The 19,794-nt window shown below is 40.6% G+C and overlaps 1 protein-coding gene across 3 annotated transcripts in view; it reads left to right on the top strand.

The window, feature by feature from the left end:
• The window catches only part of MTMR7 (myotubularin related protein 7), a 116,558-nt gene that overhangs the window by 11,382 nt on the left and 85,382 nt on the right, over positions 1-19,794 (top strand). The window lies entirely within an intron of this gene.

Genomic DNA, 19,794 nt, shown 5'->3' with positions numbered 1-19,794 from the left:
AAATATGTTTTGTATTGTCATTCCATAGTTCCTTAAGATAAGGTACTTATCCATAAGATCCATAATATGCATAAGATTCATAGTACCTGGATCTTATTAAAATAATTTGTATATCTAATAGGTACCTCAATTTCACTATGTCCCAAACTGAGCTGATTCCCTCTCGTCTCACACCCAATTTTCTCCTCTTGTGCTCTTTCCAATCTTGGCATTTCACCCTTCCAGTGCTGGAGCCAATAACTTTGGAGTTACCCTTCACTCCTCTTTTTCTCTCCTTCCATATCTATGCCAATAGTAAATCCTCAGCACTCTACTTTTAAAATATATCCAGGTTATCGCACCTCCATTCCTACCACCCTGTTCTGAAATACTATCAACTCTTTCCTGGTCCCCTTTTCATTTTTGCCGCTCCCCCACCAGTTTATTTTTGCCAGAGATACTGTTAAATATAATTTGGAGCTTGGACTTCTTTCGTGGGTCTCCTCACACCCAGAGGGAAATTCTATACCTTATCTGCCCCTTCTCCCTCTCAAATCTCATTTCCCACAACTACCCCACTCCCTGTTCTTGGACCTCACTGCTTGACCACTACTCCCTGGATACCCAGGCACACTCCTTTTTCAACACCTTTGCACGAGATGTTTCCTGTGCCTGGAACTTGCTTTCCTTAGATGTGCAGATGGTTTGCTCCCACACTTTTTTAGATCTTTGCTCAAATGTTATTTTATCAAGAAAGCCAATTTATCATCACATATAAAATAACAATCCTAACTCACCTCAACCAACATACTTTACCTCTTTATATTTTTCTCCATAGCATTTTTTCTGTAACATACATACACACCTACACACATACACATACCACACACATGCATACATTCCGTATCCCCCGAATTGCAAAGGTACCTGGCAGCTAGCTGCATTTATATACAACACTGAATGAATGAATATGGATTATTAGGTTCTATAACAGACCGTGTGTTCTGTACACCCAAGCCTCCATGCAAGACCACCAGACTTCAACTTTTGCTAGACCTGTTAAAAGTGAGGATTTCATGAAATGTGGGCGATTTTTGAGGAATGTTTAATCACAACTTCTGTGATTACTTGGCTTAGACAATCTATTCTTACTTGGAAAACTTAAAAAAGAAATACTGCCACATCTACACTTTTAAGTGGATTGCTTCATTCCAGCAAACTTATCTTATCAGCCTTGTCTTTTGAGTAAGAGCGTATTTGATTACAGTGACTACCTCCTCAACAGCTGTTAAATATTGTGCAATAAAAGTCTGACAATTAGATAAGAATCCATCTTTAAACCGGTCTAAATCAAAACAGTACTGAGGTTTGTTCTTTTGATAAAATCAAATTGCAACGACAAGAAAAACCAAGGGTAACGCTTGATAATGTAGAGGTAGCCCATTACTCTAGAGGCAGGGAAGCACACAGGACTCCAGAGGGCCTGGAGATAGCATTGTAAGGCCGCTGGGATCCTAAACTGCATTTTCTTTCCTGTTCTCAACATCAAAACGCAAAATGGTAGAGTTGTTAAGAACACACACTCTGGGGCCACAATGCCTGGTTTTGAATCCTCACTCTGCCTCTTACAGCTCACTAACTTATTTAACTTTAGTTTCCTCATCTGTGAAATGGGGATAACAACAGTACTCACCTCTTAGGGTGATTTTGAGGTCTAAGCGTCTTAATAAATGTGAATCTAGAATGGTGCCTAGCACAGTAGCTATAGTGTTATTTCAGAATTTTCTTTTATCAGTACTATCGGTACTATTGTTGTATTGCTCTTGTTATAAATAATTGCAAAAAATAAATTCAATCTCAACAGTAAACAAATAAACATAAATTGATGAGAAACCATACTTCATCTATAATTCTCAAGAATTTTTTAAAGGGTATTCCTCTGCCATAATAGCAGATACAATCCTAGAGAAAAGCATACAAACAGCATCAAAAATCTTTAAAATGTATATAGAAATGGAACCAGAAAAGATACCTGAGAAATTTAATCTCAGGTGATAGAGATTTACACAACAATTTAGATACATGGATGTTTATCAGTTTTTTGGTTTTTTTTTTTTTGAGACAGAGTCTTGCTCCATTGTATATATGTACTATGTTTTCTTTATACATTTGTCTGTTGATGGCCACTTAGTTTGCTTCCAAATCTCGACTACTGTGAATAATGCTGCCATAAGCATGGGAGTGCGGATATCTCTTGGCCATACTGATTTCCTTTCAGGTAATGTGATTCCTCCAGTTTTGTTCTTTTTGCACAGAATACATTTGGCTATTCTAGGTCTTTTGTTGTTCTATATAACTTTCAGGATTTTTTCTATTTCTGTCAAGAGTGGCATTGGCATTTTGATAGGGATTGTATTGAATTTGTAGATTACTTTGGGTTGTATGGGCATTTTAACAATATTTATTCTTCCAATCCTTGAACAGGGAATATCTTTCCATTTTTGTGTGTCCTCTTTAATTTCTTTCCTCAGCGTTTTATAGTTTGCCTTTTATAGATCTTTTACTTAAGTTAAATTGTTTCCTAGGTATTTTATATTATTTGTAGCTATTATAAATAGGATTGCTTTCTTGATTTCTTTTTCACATTGTTCACTGTTGGCATACATGAACGCTACTGTTTTTCGTATTTTGATTTCGTATCTTGCAACTTGACAGAATTCTTTGTCATTTTGAATCGTTTTTTGGTGGAGTCTTTAGGTTTTTCCAAATATAAGATCATATCATCTGCAAACAAGGATAATTTGACTTTTTCCTTTCCAGTTTGGATGCTCTTTATTTTTTTTTTCTCTTGTCTGATTGATCTAGCTTGGACTTCTAGTACTATGTTGAATAATTGTAGTGACAATGAGCATGCTTCCTGTGTTCCAGATCGTAGACAAAAGGCTTTCAGTTTTTCCCCATTCAGTATGATACTAGCTGTGAGTCTGTTGTATATGTCTTTTATTATGTTGAGGTATGTTCCTTCTATCCTCAACCCTCGGAAGTTACCAGAGGCTTGCAAATACTATCATCCATTATTTTAAATTGATGATGCCCTAGCTCTGATTGCTTGAGCAAACAGACGTGCAAAAGGAAAACTAATAAAAACTCTACACTTTCACTTCATATCCCCTTCTTTTTAACTTTTTTGTTGCATCTCTTGATGTCTTATTGTACTATGCCTTGAAAAGTTGTAGTTACCATTTTTTATTGGTTCATTTAATCTTTTATTGGTTATTTAATCTTTCTACTTAAGAGTAGTTCACACACCATAGTTCTTTAGGTTGGGACGTTCTTTGTGGTTATCGCTTTGAATACACTTTATATTCCCATTTCTTTCTCTACCTCCTCTTTAAGGCCAGTAACTCTTAGATTTGCCCGTTTGAGGCTTTCTGGATCTTGTAGGCATGCCTCATTGTTTTTTACTCCTTTGTGTTTTGTCCCCTCTGACTGTGTGTTTTCAAATAGCTTGTCTTCAAGCTCACTAATTTTTTTCTTCTACTTGGTCAATTCTGCTATTAAGAGATTCTGATGCATTCTTCAATATAGCAATTGCATTTTTCAACTCCAGAATTTCTGCTTGATGCTTTTTAATTATTTGAATCTATTTGTTAAATTCATCTGGTAGAATTTTGAGTTCCTTCCCTGTGTTAACTTGAATTTCTTTGAGTTTCCTCAACACTGCAATTTTGAATTGTCTGTCTGAAGGGTCACATACCTCTGTTTCTCCAGGATTGTTTCCTGGTGCCTTGGTTCATTTGGTAAAGTCATGTTTTCCTGGATGGTCTTGATGCTTGTGGATGTTTGTTGGTACCTGGGCATTGAAGAGTTAGGTATTTATTGTAGTCTTTGCAGTGTGGGCTTGTTTGTTGTCATATTTATTGGAACCTTCCAGGTATTCAAGAGCCCTCGGGCTTTAAGCGAACGTCGGTGGTGGCCTGCAGAAACCCCATGTTTTGCAGACTCACGGAGGTACTGCCTTGATGGTTTTATATAAGATCCTGAAGAATTATTTGGATTATCAGAGAGATAGTCTTTTTCTCTTCCTTTATTTTCTCCCAAACAAATGTATTCTCTCTTTGCTGAACTATCTGGAGCTGGGAGTGGGGTGACACAAGTACCCCTGTGGCCACCACCACTGGGACTACACTGGGTCAGACTTGAAGCCAGCACAGCACTGGGTCTTGCCCAGGATCCACTGTAACCACTACCTGGCTACTTCCAAAGTTCACTTAAGGCCCTAGGGCTCCACCATTAGCAGGTGGAGAAGCCAGTTAGGCATGTGTCCTTCCCTTCAGGGTGGCGAGTTCCCCCAGGCCCTGGGCAGGTCCAGAGATGTTGTCTGGGAGCCAAGGATTGGAGTCAACATCCTTAAAAACGTACCTCATGTTATATTCTACTGCAGGAAAGCTGGCCCTCAAAACACAAGACAAAGTCTGTCCTGCTCTTCCCTCTCCTTTCTGCAGGCAGAGGAGCCTCTTCCAGTAGCCACCACTACCACTGGTCCATGGGGTTTCTGCAGGCCACCACCGACGTTCGCTTAAAGCCCAAGGGCTCTTCAGTCAGCTTGTGGTGAATTCTGCGAGGCTTGGAGCCCACCCTTCAGGGCATTGAGCTCCCCTCTAGCCTAGGGCAGGTCCAGAAATGATGTCAAGAGCCTTGGCCTGGAATCAGGGACCCCAAGGGACCACGTGATACTCTATCCCGCTATGGCTGAGCTAGTACCTGAGGTGCAAGACAAAGTGCCCTTAACTTTTCCCTCTGTTTTTTTCAAGCACAAGGAGTCTCTCTCCATAGCCTCCACAGCTGCAAATGTGCTGGGCTCCCCTGAAGCCAGCACGCCTCAGTCTCACCCAAGGCCCACTGTGTACTACCTGGGTATCACTGCTCATTATTCAGGGCCCGAGCTCTTTTGTCAGCAGATGATGAATGCCGCTAGGACTGGGTTCTTCTCTTCCATTCGGCAGGTTTCCTTCTGTCCCAAGGTGTGTCTAGAAATGTCATCTGGGAGCTAAGGCCTGGAATGGGGGCCTCACAACTAACTCTGCCTGGTATCTGATCCTTTTGTAGCTGAGTTGTTAATGAAGGTGCAAGACAGTCCTTTTTACTCTTTGCTCTCCTCTCCTCAAGCAGAAGGAAGGAGTCACTTCCAGAGGCACTGCCTGGGGTTGTGAGAGGGGTGGCACAAGCATTCCCTTAGCCACCCCAGCTTGTGTCTCCCTAGGCCACACGCTACCCCAGTCCGCTGACTCTAAAGCCAGCCCAGCATTAGGACTTGACTAGGAGTTGCAGTCCTGTGTCCCGGATTGCCTTTCAGATTTACCGAGGACCTGGGAGCACTTTAGCCTGCAGTAGTGAGGCTTGCCAGAATTCAAGTTCTGACCACTGGGATAGGCAATTTCCCTCTAGCTAAGGCTGGTCCACATACTCCCTGAGCCCAACACATCTTTGCTTTGCTATGGTAGGGCAGCACTGAGTTGAATGCCAAGTCCTCAAGTAGCTATGCTCTCCTTCCCGCAAGTGCACAGATTCTTTTTCCACGTAGGAGAAAGAATCTGTGAACTTAGTCACTACCAGGGGATGGGGGACAGGTTGCCTCGGCAATTCAAGACTGTCTTTGTTACCCTTGTCAGTGCCTCTTTCAGCAATACAAAGTTAAAAGCAGGTACTTTAATAGCTCACCTGATTTTTGGTTCTTATGATGGTGCTTTTTTGTGTGTAGTTGTTAAAACTTGGTGTTCTTGCAGGCAGGATGATCTGTGGAGGCTTCTATTTGGTCATCTCTCTTTCCATCCCCATAGTTTGTCTGGAATTTTTTTTTTTTTATAAACCGTATGTTGGTATGATCAGCCATATCTCCTGATGGATATTATTATATTATTTAACATTGAATATTTTATTCTATATCATGTACATAAATATACTTATTTCCGGTAGTTTAATCTTTGTTCTTTGTCACCTTCCCCTATCATATCTGTTAAGATTGAGGTCATAGACTCTAAATACATTTCCCAGTATGAGAAGAATGTTGTATTTAAAAGTATACTGGATGGCTCCTTTGTAATGTGAAAGATTCTGCTTTGCTTTTTCTGGTTTCTATGCTTAGGTGTTTACATCTGTTTAAAAAAGCAAACAAATATACTTGTATACTTGGATACTTATGTGCAACACCACAGCCAACCCAGTTTAAACAGTGGGCAAAGGACTTGAATAGACATTTCTCCAAAGAAGATATACAAATGGCCAATAAGTACATCAAAAGATAGCCAACATCACCAGCCATTAGGGAAATACAGGTCAGAACCACAATAAGATACCACTTTATACCCATTAGGATGACTATTACTTAAAAAGAAAGAAAGAAAACAACAAGTGTTGGCAAAGGTTGTGGAGAAATTGGAACCCTTGTGCATTGTTGGTGATAATGTAAACTGGTACTGCTGCTGTGGAAAACCCTTTGGTAGTTTCTCAAAAAGTTAAATGTAGAATTATCATATGACTCAGCATTTCCACTCCTGGGTATATACCCCAAAGAATTAAAAACAGGGACACAAACAGATACTGGTATGCCCATGTTCATAGCTGCATTATTCACAATAGCCAAATGGTGGGAACAATCCAAGAGTCCATCAACAAATGAACAGATAAACAGAATATGATATGTACATGCAATGGAATATTATTCAGCCTTGAAAAGGAATGAAGTTCTGATACATGCTACAATATGGGTGAACCTTGAAGACATTGAAGACAAGTGAAATAAGCCAGACAAAAAAAGGACAGATAATGTATGATTCCACTTACATGAGGTATATAGAATTCTTAGAAATGAAAAGTAAAATAAAAGTTATGAGGAACTGAGGGTAGGGGAAAATAAGGGTTTTTGCTTAATAGTTAGAGAGTTTTTGTTTCAGGGGTTGAGAAAGTTTTGGAAATTGATAGTGGTGATGGTTACACAACAGTGAATGTACTTAACGCCACTGAATTATACGCTTAAAATGCTTTAAAGTATATCTTTTATGTGTATTTTGTGACATTTAAAAAAAATACATTTCCTGGCACATAACCACTGCTCAGTAAATACTTACTGACTGAATGAATTTGTCGAATGAACTAATACTTAATTTGGCAAATGTATATCAACTATTAGCATGACAGTGGGTGGCATTGTGGGTCTGATGTCAGACACTCAGTTAAAATTCTTACTCTGCCACGTATATATATTTTTGATTTTGGCATAATTAAAAAACTAACATATTTACATATTATAAAATTCATCATTTAAAAGTATACATTTAAGTAGTTTTTGATGTATTCACAACATTATGTAACCATCACTACTCTCTATGTAATTTCTGAACATTTTCACCACCCCAAAAAGAAACCTGGTATTTACTAGCAGTCATCCCTCCTTTCTCTCTCCCTACACCCTGGACAATCTCTAGAGATTTGCCTATCCAGGACATTTTATATAAATGGAATCATACAATTTATGGTCCGTTGTGACTGGCTTCTTTCAGTTAAGCGTAACTTAAGATTTTCAAGGTTCATCCGTGTTGTAGCATATATCAGTACTTCATTACTTTTTATTGCTGAATAATATTCCATTGCATGGATATACCCCACATTTGTTTATGCATTCATCAGTTGATGGATATTTGAGTTGTTTCTACTTTTTATTGGGAATAGTGCTGCTATGAACATTTATGTATAAATTTCTTTGTGTGTGAAAATATGTTATCAGTTCTCTTGGGTATATACTCAGGAGTGAAATTGTTACATCATATGTTAATGCATGCTTAATCTGTTGAGAGGCTAACAGTTTTCCAAAGAGGCTGCAGCATTTTATATTCCTAACAGTGATGTATGAGGGTTCCAGTATCTCCATATCCTCACCAACACTTGTTGTTATCTCTTGATTATAGCTATCCTAATGGGTGTGAAGCGGTATCTTGTGGTAGTTTGAGTTGCATGTACCTGGTAGCTAATTATGTTGAGCATCTTTTTATGTGCTTATTAGCTATTCATATGTCTTCTTTGGAGAAATATCTGTTAAGATTCTTTGTTCATTTTTTATTTTATTATCTTCAACGTTTGTGTTAAGTCCCAGGTTACATGTGCAAAATGTGCAGGTTTGTTACATTAATAAACGTGTCAGAGTGGTTTGTTGTACAGATCATCTCGTCATCTAGGTATGAAGTCCAGCATCCATTAGCTTTTATTTCTGATGTTCTCCCTCCCCTCGCAACCCCTCTGACAGGCCCCAGTGTGTGTTGTTCCCCATGATGTGTCCACGTGTTCTCATCGTTCAGCTTCCACTTACAAGTGAAAACATGCAATGTTTGGTTTTCTGTTCCTGCATTTGTTTGCTGAGGATGACAGCTTCTAGCTCCTGTTTGTTTTTTAAATTGGGTTATCTGTCTTTTTAATGTTGAGCTGTAAATGTTCTTTATGGATTTGGGGTACTAAATAATTCGATATGTGACTTGCAAATATTTTCTTTCATTCTGTAAGGTGTCTTTCTCATTGTTATCTTTGAAATACAGGTTTTTAATACTAATGAAGTACAATTTATCTATTTTCCTTTGGTTGCTCATACTTTAGGTGCCATATCTAAGAAATTACCTAATCCAAGGTCACAGAGATTTACACTGTTTAGGTCTTTGATCTATGTTGAGTTAATTTTTGTATATGGTGTGAGATAGAGGTCCAAATGCATTGTTTTGCATGTGGAAGTCCAGTTGTCGCAGCAGCATTTATTGAAAGTAATTTTCCTACTCCATTTAATTGTCTTCATACCCTTGTTGAAAATTGATTCTTTATAGATGCTTGGATTTATTTCTGGACTCTCAGTTCTATTCCTTTAATATCTTTGTCTATCCTTAGCCAATACCACACAATCTTGATTATTATAGCTAGGTATATGATCTTGAAAGCTTTGGTTTTCTCACGTATAGCTTGTTAGAGACTAAACAGAATACACTTAAAGCACTAAATAACATGGCACATAGTACATTTTAGCTGTTTTCAAGTTATTTTTATAATCATCCTCATTGCAAAAGGATGTGGCCACAAGTTTGTATGCTGAAAGAACTTCCATGAAATTTGAGAATAAAAAGAATTTTCTAAATCCAAACATTTCATTTGACCTACTCATTCACCTCCCTGCTGCACAATGAGTTTCAATATTTTTTCCTCTGGAGGAACTCTGCAAAGAATGCCTCCCTGTAACCCAACTCTAGTTCACACCCAGACTTTGGAGCATATTGTTCTTTAATAAAAACATTGATCTCGTCAAACACATGGATTTTAGGAAAGGTGTCAAGTTTCGCTCAGGAAGCCTCTGCAGTGGCCTATGAGGCAAAGCCTCAGTGACATCGCCCTAGATTCCTGAAAGAGAGTCTTTTTGGAATGAAAGTATGGAGAAGAAAGTGGGAAACACACTTTGGCTTTTTAGTGGAGGAAAGTAAGAGGGTTACATTTGTGCTGCCATGAAAGCTTTAAAAAGGGATGCAATTTTAAGGCACTGTACACCTTGAAACATTTATATGCTTGTGAGGAATGATAAAGACGTGAAACTGTAACCTCCTATGTAAGTCTACTTGAGCCATTATTTATTTATTTATTAGTAAATTTTGACATTTCCCTATTGAACTCACATTATTAACTGATTAGGTTTGGTTATCACTTCTGTCTTACATCTGGAGGAAAAACAGCATTTGGAATGCTTGTTTTCACAGATGTACATATATTTTCTCATCCTTATTTAAAGCTTATTTTTATTGCTTTTTTTCCCATTCTGAACAGGACAAGCTGTGAAGTACGCTTGAAATTAAACCTCTTGACCAGACACCCAAGATTCCGTGACTTTGTCCGTGTGATGGTTCAGTTTTATATTCTCATACTGCACTCAGAGGGAGTCCAAGAAGCTCATTTTGTACCATATTTCTTAGGCCAGGAAAAGTCTAAACTATTTTTCCTAGTGCCCTTTCCCCTGGTGGACAGCTAGTTGAAGCCTCTGGGAGTAAAAGTACTTCCCAGGACATAAACCCAACCCTTCCTCCCACAACCATTTAAAATGGTTTAAAAATAACCCCCACTTAATGTTTTGTGGCAGGCTATGACAACTTTATAAAAATTGTATGTTTACTTTTCTCCTCTTTTTCATTTATTAAAACACTGCTTATCATAGATTCCCGGAGAAATAAATTTATTGCCAAGCTGTGAAAGTAAATTTTACTCCTTAGGGCCTGTAGCAAAGCACACATTACTTAGAACAAGGTACAGTTGATCTGTGCAAGTTGCGGTGAACTGTTCACCCAGTTTGAGTAGTGGTAGTTTAAGGAAGGGATTCTGCCTTTTAAGCTAAACGGATACATTTAAAGACCCTATTGATGCATATATCCTTTCACTTGTACATTCTGGAAGTATTCCTTGAGTGCTTTCTCTATGCCAGTTTTAGGCCCTGGAGATCCAGTGGTAAATAAGACAGACAGTGGCCCTAGTTTCATGGAACTTACCGTGTAGTAAAGAATTTGTAAAAATTCTTTAGTAAAAAAATAATATTGCAGTTCTTTAAAACAATATATATGTCATCACTGTAAGCTAAGATTTTGGAAAATCTCCCATTTTTAAAAGATTTTTTCCCAGATCCTGCCACCCTCCCCCTGTAAACCTTCCAGTTGCTTCCTACCCTACTCAGAGTGAAAGTCAAAGTCATAACGTTGTCCCGGCAGGCCCTACAAGGTTTGTCCATCTACTGGGCACCTCATCTCCTACTTGTTTCCCCTCACAGATGCTGATCCAGAAGTCCTCACGTCCTCGTAGACCCTTGACCACATCTACCTGTTCCTGCCCAGGGTCTTGTCATTTGTTGTTCCCTCTGCCTGGAATGCTCTCCCCAGATACCCCCATGGCTGGCTTTCTCACTCATTCTGGTTCTCTACTGAAATATCTAATTATGTTATTAGAGAAGACTTCCCTGGGCACCTGATATGGTCTGGCTCTGTGCCCCCACCCAAATCCCATCTTGGATTGTAATCTGAATTGTAATCCCCACGTGTTGGGGGAGGGACCTCACGGGAGGTGACTGGATCACAGGGGTGGTTTCCCCTTACTACTCTGGTAAGCGGTAGTGAGTTCTCATGAGAGCTGATGATTTCATAAGGGGCTCTTCCCCTTTCATTCTGTACTTCTCTCTCCTGCTCCCTTGTGAAGAACGATGTGTTTGCTTCCTCGTCTGCCATGATTGTAAGTTTCCTGAGGCCTCCCCAGCCATGCAGAACTGTGAGTCAATTAAACCTCTTTCCTTTATAAATTACCCAGTCTTGGGTACTATCTTTATAGCAGTATGAGAAGGGACTAATACAGTATCCTGCTGGCCCTCCTCACTCAACTGCTTATCCTGCTTTAATTTCCTCTCTAGGAATCTTCTGGCACACATACGTGGTGATACAGTTCCACCATATCTTATGCCAAATTGTAATCCCCAATGTTAGCGGTTGGGCCTGGTGGGAGATGGTTGCATGATGGGGGTGGATTTCATATGAATGGTTTAGCACCATCGCCTTGGTGCTGCTCTTGTGATAGTGAGTTCTTTTGAGATCTGGTTGTCTAAAAGAGTGTGGCACCTCCTCCCTCACTCTTTCTTGTTCCTGCTCCCACCATGTGAGAAGCTTCACTCCCCCTTTGCCTTACACCATGATTGGAAGCTTCCTGAGGCCTCCCCAGAAGCAAAAGCCGCTCTGCTTCCTGTACAGCCTGCAGAACCACGAGCCGATTAAACCTCTTCTCTTTATAAATTACCCAGTGTCAGTTATTTCTTTATGGCAGTATAAGAACAGGCTAATACATGAGGGATTTCTTTTTTTTTTTTTTTAACATATTCCCTGTTTCCATGCTTTCCCACCTTCAAGCAGAAGGTACAAACTCCATGTGAGCAGTGACTTTATCTTCCCAATTCATGTGCCCCCAGCACTCAGAACACTCTATGTCTGGTACAGAGTAAAGGTGCACAATAAATATTTGTTGTATGAATGGATAAAGGAAACGGTTTAATGTGACTTGGTGTCGAAGCTTCAGTATCTTTCAATATCTTTCAACAAACATGTTTTTTTTTCTCCTCCAGTATTCTCCATTTTAGTTATATGGCCCTACTTTTCACATTTGCAGATGAAGTTTTGTTTTATTTTTTCCCCGTCTCTGCTCTGTTTCCTGTATGTGCAACATCTTCCACAGCTGAATCTTTCCTAACTTCCTGTCTGAAAAGTCAAATTCAATAATAAAGCATTCTGGGTTAATCATACTTAATTCTACCTATAAGCCATCACATAATTTATTTTTACCATAGTACTGTTAATTTTCATTCATTGAACAAATACTTAGCATCTGTGCTTGGCATCAGGCTACAAAGATAGGCAAAAACATTAGTGCCAATCTTCAAGGATCCTGCCACCGAGGGTTGCTGTGATGTTCTGAAGTGTGATCATTGTTGTTTCAGGAAGCCAGTAAGCCAAGGACCGTGTGTCTCTTTTCCTTTCTTCCCACAGTTCTAGTGTGAGTGTTTGCCTAGCATTGTTCATTGTGCTGCAGGGAATATTAGGAATAAAATAACTTGGGTTCCCATGAGAATATGATTGTGGTAATGGTTAGAGTGTACAGTAAAGATAGCGTGTAATGAAGTAGTGTAGGATAAGTAGAAACCAAGTAGTGATCAGAGAGGTCACAGCAATTCAGAGGACAGTGAATGATCCCAGTGGACTGGGGTAGTTGAGGAAAGGTGTTATTAAGGAGGTGGATCTTGGGTGTCAGGCTGGAGGTGAGTATGTTGCACTTGGTGAGTGGCAGTGTCCTTTTCTTACTGTTCTTGGTGACCTCAGAGTGCACTGTGGCAGGCAATCATGCAGCTTTGCTTATTGGGCCTCAGAAGAGGCCTCCACATCATTGGGTCTGCAAGGCATTCTGCTTTATACTCATTTCCCAGAGTGGGAATGATGGACACTTTAGGGCCGGACTGTAAGAGGAGAAAGAGAAAAATATGGTGCCAATTATGCAGTCTGTCCTTGGGGTCTTCGAAGCCGAGGAGTGAGGCATGGGAATGTGTAAATGAGCTGGAACCTGGCCTTGGCCTGGGTGGACAGAGTGTACCCCTTTGTCCTCTGGCACTGGTACTTGCCAGGGGTTGGTGGGAGGGAGAGCATGAGACTTGGGTCTCTCTGTGCCTGGGCTTTCTCCTCCCTTTGGTTAGTAAGTTCTATTTGGCACAACTTGCCCTTGGAAAAATATTTCCCCATAGTTCCCAAAGAGCTATATAAGTAGATGGTTTCGTCCTTTGCTGTTAGTGCCTTTGTCAAAAATAGGTCAAATTCAGAATCATTTTAGAATTTTAGAAATATCGTTAAAGGAAAATCATAATCAAATGAGCCTCTGACTTCCTGTATTGCTTCAAAGCAAGGTCTTGTTCTCCCTATACTAGTATATGTTTTTAAAATGACTTTATTGTTTTGAACCCAACTATCTTTAGTAGGTCATTCCATACATTTACTCTTTGGGATACAAAGCATCATGTATTCACTGAGTTACAAAGAACCAGCATCTGTCCTGAATTTATTTTTCTTTTAACCTCTTTTTTCTTCTTTTCCTCTTCTTTATGCTTGTTGAAAATGGTATTTTTGGTTGGGGTTATTTTAAGGTGGTGTTGAAATAAATCCTGGGACTTTGCTCTTGTTCAACAGTGCATGTTCTTTTAAGCCTACATATCCAGGGTCATCCTACCAAAATAAATTATATGGGCCCTTTGCAAAATTCTCAAGTGCCTGAATTTTTATTTATGAGCGTTGGCTGCTGGCATAATGTTTGTAATTTCTCCTGAGCAAAAATGGGCACTTTTTTCTTGTTCTGCCTTTTCTAAGAATTTCTATCACTCTTACTTCTTACGTAGCTTGGCTGTGTCACTATTTTAGCTTGTATATTCCCTTAGGAGAATTTTTAAAATTTCCTTAAACGTCAGTCAAATCTGCTGTTTTAACAAATGTATAGGTAGATGGAACTCAACAACCTGCCCATTTATAAACACTCAGGCTTATCCAAAATCATCAAGAATTTTTTTTACCTTGACCTAAACTAGATACAATAATCCTTATCTGAATAGGAAGTTTGGGTGATTTATTTTTCTCCTTTTAAATGGAAATTTCTCAAAGCATATTTTTCTCTGATCAGTATAATTTTACGTATAGGAATTAGAGATTTTAGGTGGCTCCAAAATCTGTAGAAATGTGTGTATCAAGTACCCCAAGTACCTCCCATGTGGAGGAAGGACTTAAATTTTCTGTCAAATTGGGAAATAGATACATTCTTCACTTGGGACACCGATATACTAACAATCCTTCTGACATGCTTAGAATTACAAGATCTTTATTCATTTTTAATGTCTTTCTCTGCAACCAACATAACAAAACAGTCTAGATATATTCATTTATCCTTTCCCCCTTACTTTACAAAGTTGTATCAAGATTACTGGGGTGAATTTTTCTACCAGTAGCTCCCCTGGGTCTGTCTAAACTTCTTGGATTGTGAGTCTATTTGAAACTGGGTCTTAGTCTTCAAATCTGTACCTCCGTACTTCACGTAACCTGGCTGAAACTGGCTCTGTCCAGAGTTTGAAGTATGATGATATGGGCTCTCCAGGCTAAATAGATATTGGTAGAGGAAGAAACAGATGCTGGTACATCAGAATACCTGGGATATCTGGGATATCGGAATACCTGGGATATCTTCACATGCATAGATGCTGGTACATCAGAATACCTGGGAAGAATGATCAGTGATATCTATCATATGAGACTGGTGACTGCTTTGGGAATGAAAGGAGGAACCTGTTTAGCCGGTAAGGTGGGGCTAGGTTGTGGAAGGCCCGGTTAGCAGCAGTGGGGAGATACTGTAGCTCTGAACAGAGAGTGACATGATCAGGGTGTATCTAGAGTGACTACTGTTTGAGTGCCATCCTGGGGACTAGACTGTGTGGCAGGATGTGCTGGGCTTTGGTCACCCATCATCCACTCTCCCAGGCTCCCTCTGAGGAGCCATGCCTGCTCTATGCTCAGTTTGTATGTTTTTTTGGTGTGTGGCGTACTGCCAATCCAGCTACCCAAATCATGTCATTTCATGACCACACTGAATGGTTTAGGGGTAAGCGTGTGACCAAGTGAGATGCAGTGATACTTGGCTTGGGCTCCAAGAAGGGCAGCTGGCGCTTTTCTTCATGGCCATGGATGTGGCAGGAGATGGGACAGGGGCAACTGGAGCCATCATGAGCAGAGCCTGCTGAGAGCCAGCAATGAGGGCCCAGCCAAGAGTTTGAGGGTGAGGAGCTGAGTGTTTTCAGCCCATCTCCCCTTCTGAAGCCAGCCCTATCACTGACCTTTGTAGACGTATGATCCAATAAAAGCCCTTTTGGCTCAAGCCATATGAGGTTGAGATTTCTGTCTCTTGCTCCTATAAGAGTCCTAGGAGATAGAGGTGGAATCAGATCATCTGTGGGCAGTATTACCAGTTAGGAACTTTTTGTTTTGTTTTTGAGACAAGGTCTCACTCTGCTGCCCAGCCTGCAATGCAGTGGCATGATCACGGCCCACTGCAGCCTTGACCTCCCTGGCTCAAGTGATCTGCCCTCTTTAGCCCTCTGATTAGCTGGGACTATAGGCATGTGCCACCATGCTTGGCTAATTTTTAAATTTTTTTGGTAGAGACAGGGTCTCACTGCATGATCTGGACTGGTCTCTAACTCCTGGGCTCAAGCAGTCCTCCTGCCTCAGGCTCCCAAAGTGCTGGGATTACAAGTGTGAGCCACTGCTCCTGGCCAGGAGAGTCTGATAAATAGTCTGGGTGCCTGGCACAGAGCAGGCACTCCACAATTTAGCAGATTTAATTAATTAAATTAAAAGGGCTTAAATTGATGGGCAGCAGCTGTCTAATTTTCACAAGGTTCTTTCACAAGTAGCTTGCTTTGTATTGTATTGACTATTAGGCCATTCTCACATTGGTATAAATAAATATCTGAGACCGGGTAATTTATGAAGAAAAGAGGTTTAATTGGCTCATGGTTCCAAAGTTTGTACTGGAGGCATGGTGGCATCTGCTGCCGGGAGGCCACAGGAAACACAATCATGGTGGAAGGTTAAGAGGGAGCAGATACTTCTTACATGGTAGGAGCAGGAGCAAGACAGAGACAGGGTAGGTGCTGTACCCTTTTAAACAACCACATCTCCTGAGAATGAACTCACCATCGTGAGGACAGTACTATATTAGTGTGTTCTCATGCTGCTAATTAAGACATACCCGCGATTGGGTAATTTATAAAGGGAAGAGGCTTAATGGACTCACAGTTCTACATGGCTGGGAAGGCCTCACAATCGTGGCGGAAGACGAAGGCAGAGCAAAGAGACTTCTTACGTGGTGGTGGGCAAGAGAGAAGGCTTATGCAGGGAAGCTCCCTTTATAAAACCATCAGATGTCATGAGGCGTATTCACTATCACGAGAACAGTCCAGGAATGACCCAGCCCCATGATTCAGTTACCTCCCACCAGGTCCCTCCCACGGCATGCGGGGATTGGGAGAGCTACAATTGAAGATGAGATTTGCGTGGGGACACAGCCAAACCATATCAAGTACCAAGAGGGATGGTGCCGAGCCATTCAGGAGAAACTGCCCCATGATCAAATCACCTCCCACCAGGCCCCACCTCCAACACTGGGGGTTACAATTTGACGTGAAATTTGGATGGGGACACAGATCCAAACGATATCAACTATATTAACTATGTTTTTGAAATAACTTAGTTTCACAGCAGAATGCAGTTTTTGAAGAATTAATTGTTTTAGGCAGCTTGAGAATAGGATTCTTTGCATGCCTCCCAGATATATCCCTGTGTGTGCATCCCACCAGCATTTTTTCTTCATTATACCAGAGGTATCTAAGGGATTTCGTGAAAGGTAGAGTCTCTGTTACTTCTGGTTATGTGTCATATATTTTCTTGGATTATGCTCAATTCTTCTCTAATCTCTGATGTTTGAATAAAATAGTCCTGGGAAAAGACTTTCAATGGTTTTTTAGCTGTAGAAAGATTAAATACTCCTTTTGGAAAAACAGTTGACGTTCTTTATTTCTCTGTCAAAAGGCTGAATTTAAAAACTCCTGAAGCTTCATGGTTGCCACCTTTTGTTTCAGTAACTTTATGTAAATAGGAAAAAAGTGCTTTCTTTTTAAATTGGAAAAACCAAATGCCCTTTTTCTGTAATTATAAGAGATCATGGCAATTCTACATTGTTTGGAGAATTTGCTATAGCTTCAGTTTTTCTTCTTGTATGTCAGAGTACTTTGCCAGCTATAATTGGGTAGTTTATATTTTTTGCATACTCTATTGTTTCTGTGAGTTTCACACAGGAGAAATGAAGTTGTGGACATGAGGTGGGAGCAAGAAGTAAAACTCTGAAGTCTGTGTTATGGATATGTTTGTTAATAATTATTTATTTATTTATTTTTTAGAGTTAGGGTCTCACTCTGTCATCCAGGCTGGAAGGCAGTGGCACGATCATGTCTGACTATAACCTCAAACTCCTGGGCTCAAACCATCTGCCCACTTCAGCCTCCTAAGTAGCTGGGCCTACAGGTGCCTGCCACTATGCCTAGATATTATTTTATTTTGTGTAGAGATGGGGATCTCATCTTGTTGCCCAGGCTGGTCTCGAACTGTCGGCCTCAAGTGATCTTCCTGCCTCAGCCTCCTAAAGTTCTGGGATTATGGGTATGAGCCACTATGCCCAGCCAATAACAATTATTTTTTAATAACTAGTGAGATGTATGCTTTTTTCCCCTCTCTCACACATGCAGTTAGTTACAGATGGGATCATTTGTCCAGGAACTCTGAACTCCAACTTGAAACATCTTTTTTTAGCAACCATTATACAGACAGTGACACCTGTCATAAATAAAAATGACTTGAGAATTTCTATATGGTAGATGTTTCTATAATTACTGCATTGCTGGTTAGAAGTGGGGCTTGGTTCCTGCATGGTTCCTCCAAAGCTGCAGGAGGCCTTTGAACCTTTCGATTTGAAACATGCTGGTGCACACTTCAGAGCTCCGCCCAGAGAATCCCTCGACCACCGGGAGAACCGAGTCTTTCGGGGATTTGCCCCTCCAGACAAGAGAAATGAGCAAGCAGGGAGGTCACATGGCCAGCCAAGCTGGTCTGTACCAGATACCAAATCTTTTAGCTGTAGCTAGAGCATTTAACTTGTTAAACATATTCCTCTCTAACTGAAATCTCAGGGACGATGGAGGAGAGACTGTTGAGCCAGGATGTTTTTCCTTCATTTGCAATATTAGACCCAGACTGAAGTGGTCAGGTATGGGAGAGATCCAGGGAAGTGGACACTTCTGGTTTGAAATCTGGCTCTGCCACTTTCTAGATGCGAGGCTTGGGCAGTTGATTGATTTTTCATGCTCTTCATGTCTTTGTCTCAGCTAAGGTTAGAAGTAGCATGTGGATAATACCTAGCACAGTATCTGATGCGCAGTAGTTGTGTGGTCAGTGGTAAAAGTATTTTCGTTGTTGTTATTACCCTTCCTCCTCTTGCTCCCTCTGCTTGAGGGAAGGGTTAAAAGGAACGCACCACAGTTACGCTGCCTCCTTTGCCATAAGCTTTTCTGAAAAATTCATCCTGGATTGCCTGGATTTGGCATCAGCACTTAGTTAAGTAGGGACTGAGAGGGTGGGCACTGTTTAAAGGTAAAACTGATGCCCAGAACCATCCTCCCAACCTTGGTATCTAAGAGCGGCTCCCTTCCCTGGGACCTTCCACACCCCCCAGGTGGTGGATGTGTCTTATCTGAGCTGCCAACAGGCCCTGGGATCCCGGCCCCCCCATATCTCGGAGGAACACCAGCCGCTCTCAAGACATTCTGTCCTGACAGTTTGGTGCCCTGTGAGTGCTTCTTACAGCCAATGCCCTGCACCCTCACTGCATTCTCCTAATCACTGTGCTAATTACTGCACAATGTAATAGAACTACATTAACTGTTGTGTATTTTAAAGTGCAATATTAATGTTCATTTTTGTGCTTGACACCTGCACATTTTGTGGCTCATATAACATTTCTACTCACAGTGGAAGAACATTGAGAAAAAAAGGACTCTGTCTGAATTTTTAGCTTCTCATTACTGTAGTGGTCTCAAATTTTGTTTCTGCACAAGGTCTCCTTATCACTCAGGCACTTTCTGACCAAGGGGTGGGTATTTCATTTGAGACACTAAGATTGTTCTGCATGCCGTGTAGCGTGAATATCAACATTAAAGATTGCAAAAAGAAAAGAAGATGGATGGACGGATGGATGTGCTAAATAGATTTTAAAATAAAGTCAAATGAAAGTCTTTATTTTTGAGTACAGCAAGACGCTTCATCAATTCAGTTTTAAATCCAAATGATACTTAATTATGAGAGACAGAAATAACTCAGGAAATGTTACCAAGTGCTCTAGGGTTTCTAGCCAGTGATTTCCTAACTCCCCAAGAGAAGCAAAAAAGAAGAAGAGCTCGAGATGGGGAAGGAATCTGGAAAATGAAAAAGAGCCACTGTGGCTGGGCAGCTTGTTCCTCCAGGCTGGTGGGCTTGGTGCCCTCGGCCTTGGGATGCTTATCACAGTCCTTTGGGACCAGAACACTGGATATCAGTGCAGCCTCTGGGCCAGCTTCAGAGGCTGTTAGAGCATCATTGCTGC

Source organism: Homo sapiens, chromosome 8, assembly GCF_000001405.40.
Source record: "Homo sapiens chromosome 8, GRCh38.p14 Primary Assembly".
In the NCBI taxonomy this organism is placed as follows: domain Eukaryota; kingdom Metazoa; phylum Chordata; class Mammalia; order Primates; family Hominidae; genus Homo; species Homo sapiens.
The sequence above is the reverse complement of the archived record's forward strand: the minus strand, read 5'-3'. Positions and strand labels throughout refer to the sequence as shown.